This window comes from Homo sapiens, chromosome 7, assembly GCF_000001405.40.
Source record: "Homo sapiens chromosome 7, GRCh38.p14 Primary Assembly".
Classification (NCBI taxonomy): Eukaryota; Metazoa; Chordata; class Mammalia; order Primates; family Hominidae; genus Homo; species Homo sapiens.
The window spans coordinates 42,800,773-42,810,734 of NC_000007.14; the positions used below are offsets into that span (position 1 = coordinate 42,800,773).

A 9,962-nucleotide genomic window follows, 5' to 3' on the forward strand; every position below is an offset into this window, starting at 1 on the left:
GGCATCAAAAAAGGGCCTGCATTGCCAAGACAATCCTAAGCAAAAAGAACAAAGCTGGAGGCATCATGCTAGCTGACTTCAAACTATACTACAAGGCTACAGTAACCAAAACAGCATGGTATGATACCAAAACAGATATATAGACCGATAGAACAGAACAGAGCCATCAGAAATAACACCACATATCTACAACAATTTGATCTTTAACAAACCTGACAAAAACAAGAAATGGGAAAGAATTCCATGTTTAATAAATGGTGCTGGGAAAATTGGCTAGCCATATGTAGAAAGCTGAAACTGGATCCCTTCCTTACACCTTATACAAAAATTAATTCAAGAGGGATTAAAGACTTAAACGTTAGACCTGAAACCATAAAAACCCTAGAAGAAAACCTAGGCAATACCATTCAGGGCATAGGCATGGGCAAGGACTTCATGTCTAAAACACTAAAAGCAATGGCAACAAAGCCAAAATAGACAAATGGGATCTAATTAAACTAAAGAGCTTCTGCACAGCAAAAGAAATTACCATCAGAGTGAACAGGCAACCTACAGAATGGGAGAAAATTTTTGCAATCTACCCATCTGACAAAGGGCTAATATCCAGAATCTAGAAAGAACTTAAACAAATTTTCAAGAAAAATAACCCCATCAAAAAGTGGGCAAAGGATATGAACAGACACTTCTCAGAAGAAGACATTTATGCAGCCAACAGACACATGAAAAAATGTTCATCATCACTGTTCATTAGAGAAATGCAAATCAAAACACCAGTAACAGACAAACAGAGAGCCAAATCATGAGTGAACTCCCATTCACAATTGCTGCAAAGAGAATAAAATACTTAGGAATCCAACTTGCCATCTGACACCAGTTAGAATGGCGATCATTAAAAATTCAGGAAACTACAGATGCTGGGAGGATGTGGAGAAATAGGAAGGCTTTTGCACTGTTGGTGGGAGTGTAAATTAGTTCAACCATTGTGGAAGACAGTGTGGCGATTCCTCAAAGATCTAGAACTAGAAATACCATTTGACCCAGCGATCCCATTACTGGGTGTATACCCAAAGGATTATAAATCATGCTACTATAAAGACACATGCACACGTATGTTTATTGCGACACTATTCACCATAGCAAAGACTTGGAACCAACCCAAATGTCCATCAATGATAGACTGGATTAAGAAAATGTGGCACATATACACCATGGAATACTATGTAGCCATAAAAAAGGATGAGTTCATGTCCTCTGCAGGGACATGGATGCAGCTGGAAACCATCATTCTGAGCAAACTACCACAAGGACAGAAAACCAAACAACACATGTACTCACTTACAGATGGGAATTGAACAATGAGAACACTTGGACACAGGGAGGGGAACATCACACACTGGGGCCTGTCATGGGGTGGGGGGCTTGGGGAGGGATAGCATTAGGAGAAATACCCAATGTAAATGACGAGTTAATGGGTGCAGCAAACTAACATGGCACATGTATACCTATGTAACAAACCTGCACGTTGTGCACATGTACCCTAGAACTTAAAGTATACTAAAAATAAATAAATAAATAAATAAATAAATAAATAAATTTGAAATTTGCACAGAAGCTGCAATTACCATTCTTTGAATTGATGATCTTATTAAATTACATCCAGAAAGTAAAGATGATAAACATGGAGGTTATGAACATGCTGTTCACTCTGGAGCCCTTAATGATTGATCTGATGTCCCTTTTATTTATAACAATGTTAAATACAATTGTCTTGTACCTTGAGTTAAGTATTACATATTAAAGTACAACAAGGTGAAAATAAATAAAGAAAAAGAAAATAGCCTACGGTTAGTTGTAAGTGTATGTTTCAAACTCTAGAGCAATCACTTAAAAATGTGTTTTAAAAAGGATAATTGATATGCTAAGAAAGGAGATAAAATGCAATGATGCAAAACACCCAGTTAAAATTACAAAAGGCAGAAAAGAGTAGAAGGAAAAATACAAACAAAGAACAAGGGCAATAAATAGAAGAAAACAGTAATAAACACTGTAGATGTTAATCCAACTATAGCAAAATTACTTTGAACAACAGTGATGTAAATGTACCAATTAACAGATGGAGATCAGAGTGAATCAAAGACAAGACCAAAATACATGTTGTCCATAAGAAATCCACTTTAAATATGAAGAGACATACGGCTTAAGAGTAAATACTAATAAGTGGAGAAAGATATACCATGCTAACACTGAGCAAAAGAAAGCAAAAGTATCTCTATTCATTTCAGACAAAACAAACCTCATACAAGCATATTTATTAGGAATAAATAGAAACATGACATAATTATAAAGGAGCCAATTCTCCAACATTATATAGCAATCTTTAATGAGTATGAGCCTAACAACAGAGTGTCAAAATATATGAGGCAAAAACCTATGGAACTACAAAAAAAAAAAGATGAATCCACTATTACAATTGGAGACTTCAACACCCTTCTATCAGAAATGAACAGATTCAGCAGGCATAAAATCAGTAAGGATATAGTTGAACTAAAAATACCATTGATCAACTGTATATAATTAACACCTTTAGATAACTTAATGCAACAATAGCAGAGTACACATTCTTCTCAAGTTCACATGGAACCTTCACCAAGATATACCACATCCTGGGCCATAAAACACACCTTAACAAATTTAAGAGAATTAGGAATCATATGATGTCAGCTCTCAGACCAAAATGGAATTAAACTAAAAGCAAATAACAGAAAGATAGCTGGGAAATCTCAAAACTTGCAGATTAAACAACACATTTCTAAATAACACAGGAGTTGGAAATAAAATCTCATTAGAAATTTAAAAATATTTTTTAAAAGATCAAAATTAAAACAAAAGTTATTCTAATTGTGGAATGCAGCAAATGCAGTTATTAGATGAAAATTGATAGCATTGAATGCATATATTAGCAAAGAAGAAAGATCTGAAATCAGTAATCTAAGGCTATACCTTAGGAAACTAGGAAAAAAAAGAGCAAATTAAATTCAAAGTAAGCAGGAAAACAAATTAAAATTAGAGCAGAAATCAATAAAATTGAAAACAGAATATCAATAGAGAAAATAAATAAAACCAAAGCTGGTCTTTGGAAAAGATCAATAAAATTAATATGCCTCTAGTCAGGCTAAGGGGGAAAAAAGGATGACACAAATTACTAATATCAGAAATGAAGAAAGACATTAAAAGAATAATAAGGAAATACTAGGAAAAAGTCTATGCCCACAAATCTGATAATCTAGATAAAACAGACCAATTACTTGAAAGACACTATCTGCCAAAGTGCACACAAGAAGAAATAGACAATCTAAATAGTCTTGTGTCAAATAAATTGAATCAATAATTAATAATCTTCCCAAAGAAAAAGCACTAGGCCAAGATACATTCACATGTGAATTCCAAAAAACATTTCAAGAAGAAATTATACCAATTCTCTACACTCTGTTTTAGAAGAGAGAAGCAAAAGGAAAGTTTTCTAACACATTCTATGAGGCCAGAATTACCTTATACCAAAACCAGACAAAGATATTACAAGAAAAGAGAATTATAGATCAATATTTTTAATGAACATAGATGCAAAAGTTATCAACAAAATGTTAGCAAATCAAATCTAACAATATGTAAAAAGAATTTTACACTGCAAACAAGTAGGATTTATTCCAGGTATGGAAGCCTGGTTCAACGTTAAAAATATCAAATAATATAATCCATTACAACAACAAAGAAGACAAATTACATGATCATATCAATAGATGCAGAAAATTTATTTGACAAAATTGAATATCCACTCATAATTAAAACTTTCACAACTGCAGATTGCAAACACTGGAGTTACCTGGAGCAGGAAACACATTTTGTGAACAGACTGACTAGAATCCATTGAGTTATCTAGCCAGAAGCTCTGCCTGATAGCAGAGCCCAGCCAGTGACCTTACCAGATATTGGATCCCAGAAAATACACAGCTGGCCAAAATCAGTGGCCCAGACAACTAGAAAACTCACAACAGCTCTGCCTGCCCAGGGTCAGTGAGGGTCATCATCAGTTGTCCCTTGCAGAATCACAGACTACATTAAAGTGAAGGTCCATCTCTAGCAAAGAATACCTGTGAAGACAAGAGAGAGGCTGTCATCTCAAATGTTCAGACAACAACACAAGGATGCAGGAATTATGAAGAATCAGGGAACCATGGCACTTCCAAAATAAACTAATAAAATTTCCATGGTAGACCCACAAAAATGGAGATCTATCTATAAAATGACAGACACAGAATTCAGAATAATACTCATAAAGAAGTTCAGTGAACTACAAGAATATACCATAAAAAGTTTAATGAAATTTGGAAAACAATACACAAAGTGAAAAGTTTGACAAAGAAATGGAAACAAAAGAAACAGATAAAAATCCTAGAAATGAAGAATACAGTGACTAAAGTGAAAAATTTAATAGAAATTTAACAGAAAGCTGCAAAACCAGACTTGATCAAATAGAGGAAAGAATTAGTGAGCTTGAAGACAGAACATTTTAAATCATTCAGTCAGAGGAGCAGAAAGATAAAAGAATAAAGAAAGCCTATGAAAATTATGGAACACCACCAAGAGACCAAACCTTTGTGTAACAGGAGTTACAGAAGGAAGATAATGTAAAAGGGACAGAAAACACATTTAAATAAATAATACCTAGAATAGAAGAGGAAAAATGATGGATAGGAGGAAGGACTAACTTGCAGCTCCCATTCAGATGGACAGAGCAGCATGTGCGGACCCACATTGTGAACTTTGCTCCAAGAACTACCACAGAATTGTACCAGGAAAGCTGAGAGAATCCACAGATCCTTTGAAGGAGGTGGATTGCTGTTGGGACAGCAACAGACCCTTTGTTGAGAGAATCCACAGATCCTTTGAAGCTGAGAGAATCCACAGATCCTTTGAAGAAGGATTGCTCCATGGGACAGTGGAGAAACTGTGAGTCTGCTTGCTTTCTCAGCTGGGAGGCTTGTAGCCTGGGGCAAGTTCTCAGTCATGCTCACCAGCTTCCTGGAAATAAACTCACTGCTGTTGCGGGGGTACGATGGGAGTGAAACCAATCTTTCATGCTGTAGGCTGCATGGGAGCTGGGTGAGGCCTATGGCTGCTGGCTTTCTTCCACTTCCCTGGTTACCTGTGTGATGCAGTAGAGACAGCCAAAAATCCCCTGGGAACATAACTCTATTGGCCTAGGAACCATGCTGCCATCCCCCATTGCAGTTGCAGTAAGCCCTGCCCAAGGAGAGCCTGAGCTCACACATGGCTAACCCTGCCCCTACCCAGTGGTCTTTCTCTACCTGCGCTGGTAGCCTAAGACAAAGGACATAATCTCCTGGGAGCTTAGGGATACCAGCACAGCTAACAGACCTGAAGATGGATTACATCACAGGACTCTCAACTGCCAGAAAAAGAATTCAGAAGGTCAACTATTAAGCAAATCAAGGAGGCACTAGAGAAAGGTGAAAACCAACTTAAAGATATCAAAAACGTGATACAGGTTATTAATGGGGAAATCCCCATTGAAATAGATAGCATAAATAAAAAACGATCACAACTTCTAGAAATGAAGGACACACTTAGAGAATTGCAAAATACACTGGAATATCTCAGCAATAGAATCAAACAAGTAGAAGAAAGAACTTCAGAGATTGAAGATAACGCTTTTGAATTAACCCAATCTCAGAAGACAAAGAAAAAAGAATTAAAAAAAAGAACAAAGCCTCCAAGAAGTTTTGGGATTATATTAAATGACCAAACCTAAGAATAATTGGTGATCTTGAGGAAAAAGAGAAATTTAAAAGTTTGGAAAACATATTTGAGGGAATAATTGAGGAAAACTTCCCCAGCCTTGCTAGAGATCAAGACATCCAAATACAAGAAGCTCAAAGAACACCTGGGAAATTAATCACAAAAAGATTATCACCTAGGCATACAGTCATCACGTTATTTAACGTCAAGACAAAGCAAAGAATCTTAAGAGCTATGAGGCAAAAGCATCAGGTAACCTATAAAGGAAAATCTATCAAATTAACAACAGATTTCTCAGCAGAAACCCTACAAACTAGAAGAGATTGGGGTCCCATCTTTAGCATCCTTAAACAAAACATTTATCAGCCAAGAATTTTGTATCCAGTGAAACTAAGCTTGACAAATGAAAGAAAGATACAGTCCTTTTCAGAAAAACAGATGCTGAGAGAATTTGCCACTACTAAGCCAGCACTACAAGAACTACTAAAAGAAGCTCTAAATCATGAAACAAATCCTCAAAATACACCAATATAAAATCTCATTAAAGCAAAAATTGCACGGGACCTATAAAACAATAACACAATGAAAAAAAAAAACAAGGTATTCAGGCAACAAATAGCATGAAGAATAGAATAGTACCTCACATCTCAATACTAATGTTGAATATAAATAGCCTGAAAGCTCCACTTAAAAGATACAGAATGGCAGAATGGATAAGAATTCATGAACCAAGTATCTGCTGTCCTCAGGAGACTCACGTAATACATAAGGACTCACATAAACTTAAGGTAAGGGGTGGAAAAAGATATTCTATGCAAATGGACAACAAAAGCAAGCAAGAGTAGCTATTCTTATATCAGCCAAAACAAACTTTAAAGCAACAGCAGTTAAAAAAGACAGAGAGGCCAGGTGCGGTAGCTCATGCCTGTAATCCCAGCACCTTGGGAGGCTGAGGTGGGTGGATCACCTGAGGTCAAGAGTTTGAGACCAGCCTGGCCAATGTGGTGAAACCCTGTCTCTACTAAAAAAATACACAAAATTAGCTGTGTGTGGTGGTGGGTGCCTGTAATCCTAGCTATTCAGGAGGCTGAAGCCGGAGAATGCTTGAACCTGGAAGGCGGAGGCTGCAGTGAGCTGAGATCACACCATTGCACTCCAGCCTGGGCAACAAGAGTGAAGCGTCATCTCAAAATAAATAAATAAATAGACAAAGAGAGACATTATATAATGATAAAAGGACTAGTACAACAGGAAAATATCACAATTCTATATATATATGCACCTAATGCTGGCAATCCCAAATGAATAAAATCAATTACTACTAGACCTAAGAAATGAGACAGGCAGCAACACAATAATAGTGGGGGACTTTAATACTCCACTGACAGCACGAGACAGGTCATCAAGACAGAAAATTAACAACAAAACAATGGACTTAAACTATATCCTAGAACAAACAGACTTAACAGATATTTACAAAACATTCTATCCAACAACTGCAGAATATACATTCTATTCATCAACACATGGAACATTCTCCAAGAGAGACCATATGATAGAAAACAGAACAAGTCTCAACAAATTTAAGAAAAAATGAAATTATAGCAAGTCCTGTCTCAGACCACAGTGGAATAAAATTGAAAATCAACTCCAAAAGGAACCCTCAAAACCATGCAAATACATGGAAATTAAATAATCTACTCCTAAATGACCATTGAATCAACAATAAATTAATTTCCATCTCGATTTTAGTTTTGACCTATTGATGAATGATAATAGTGACATAACCTATCAAAACCTCTGGGATACAGCAAAAGCAGTGCTAAGAGGAACATTTATAACATGAAATGCCTACATAGAAAAGTCTGAAAGAGCACTAATAGACAATCTTAGGTGACACCTCAAGGAACTAGAGAAGCAGGAACAAACCAAACCCAAACCCAACAGAAGAAAATAAATAACCAAGATCAGAACAAAATTAAATTAAATTTAAACAAAAGAAAATACAAAAGATAAATGAAACAAAAACTGGTTCTTTGAAATGATAAATAACATTGATAGACAATTAGTGAGATTTACGAAGAAAAAAAGAGGATCCAACTAAGCTCAATTAGAAACAAAACTGGTGAGGCCAGGTGCGGTGGCTCATGCCTGTAATCTCAGCACTTTGGGAGACTGAGACAGGCAGATCACTTGAGGTCAGGAGTTCAAGACCAGCCTGGCCACAATGGCAAAACCCGTCTCTCCTAAAAACACAAAAAATTAGCCAGGCGTTGTGGTGGGCGCCTGTAATCCCAGCTACTCTTGAGGCTGAGGCAGGAGAATCACTTAAACCCAGGAGGCAGAGGCTGCAGTGAGCCAAGATCACGCCATTGCACTCCAGCCTGGGCAACAAGAGCAAAACTCTGTCTCAAAAATAAAAGGAAAGAAAGAAAATGGGTGATATTAAAACTGATACCACAGAAATACAAAAGATCATTCAAGGCTACTATGACCACCTTTACACACATAAACTAGAAAACCTAGAGGAGATGGATAAATTCCTAGAAATAAACAACCCACCTAGATTAAACCAGGAAGAAATAGAAACTCTGAACAGACTAATAGCAACCAGTAAGATTGAAATGGTAATTAAAAAGTTACCAAAAAAAAAAGTCCAGGACCAGATGGATTCACAACTGAATTCTATCAAACATTCAGAGAAGAATTGGTACCAATCCCATTAACACTATTCAAACATATAGAGAAAGAGGGAATCCTCCCTAAATCCTACTATGATGCCAGTATCACCCTAATACCAAAACCAGGAAAAGAAATAACAAGAAAAGAAAACTACAGGCCAATATCACTGATAAACATAGATGCAAAAATCATCAAGAAAATACTAGCTAACCGAATCCAACAGCATATCAAAAAGATAATTCAACACGATCAAGTGGTTTTCATACCAGGGATGCAGGGATGGTTTAACATACACAAGTCAATAAATGTGATATACCACATCAAAAGAATAAAAAACAAAAATTACATGGTCATCTCAATAGATGCAGAAAAAGCATTTGACAAAATCTAGCATCACTTTAGGATTAAAACCCTCAGCAAAATCGGCATAGAAAGGACATACCTTAAGGTAATAGAAGCCAACTATAAGAAACCCACAGCCAACATTGTTATGAATAGGGAACAGTTGAAAGCATTCTCCCTGAGAACTGGAACAAGACAAGGATGCCCACTCCCACCACGTCTATTCAACACAATATTGGAAGTCCTACCCAGAGCAATCAGAAGAGAAAGAGATAAAGGGCATCTAAATTGGTAAAGAGGAAGTCAAACTGTTGCTGTTTGCTGATGACATGATCGTATATCTAGAAAACCCTAAAGATTCATCTAAAAAACTGCTAGAACTGGTAAATGAATTCAGCAAAGTTTCAAGATGCAAAACTAATGTACACAAATCAGTAGCCCTGCTATACACCAACAGCGAGCAAGCTGAGAATCAAATCAAGAACTCAACCCCTTTCACGATAGATGTAAAAAAATAATAAAATACTTAGGAATATACCTAACCAAGGACGTGAAAGACCTCTACAGGGAAAACTACAAAACACTCCTAAATGAAATCACAGATGACACAAACAAATGGAAACACATCCCATGCTCTCGTATGGTTAGAATGAGTATTGTAAAAATGACCATACTGCCAAAAGCAATCTACAAATTCAATGCAATTCACATCAATATAGCACCATCATTCTTCACAGAACCAGAAAAAAAATCCTAAAATTCATATAGAACTAAAAAAGAGCCTGCATAGCCAAAGCAAGACTAAGTAAAAAGAACAAATCTGCAGTCATTACTTTACTTGACTTCAAACTACACTAGAAGGCCATAGTAACCAAAACAGCATGATAGTAGTATAAAAAAAAAACATATAAATCAAGGGAACAAAATAAAGAACCCAGAAATAAAGCCAAATATTTACAGTCAACTGATCTTCAACAAAGCCAACAAAAACACAAAGTGGAGAAAGGACACCCTATTCAACAAATGGTGCTGGGATAATTGGCAAGCCACACGTAGAAGAATGAAACTGGATTCTCATCTCTCCCTTATAGAAAAATCAACTCAAGATGGATCAAAGACTT

At 36.3% G+C, this 9,962-nt stretch overlaps 1 annotated feature.

Annotated features, from left to right (window-relative positions):
• Window positions 4,676-5,203: an enhancer, noted in NCBI's record as "NANOG hESC enhancer chr7:42845047-42845574 (GRCh37/hg19 assembly coordinates)". NCBI's record gives its function as "activates a minimal SCP1, AML or CMV promoter by ChIP-STARR-seq in naive H9 embryonic stem cells {active_cell/tissue: H9 hESC(naive)}" and the evidence as "EXISTENCE:reporter gene assay evidence [ECO:0000049][PMID:30033119]".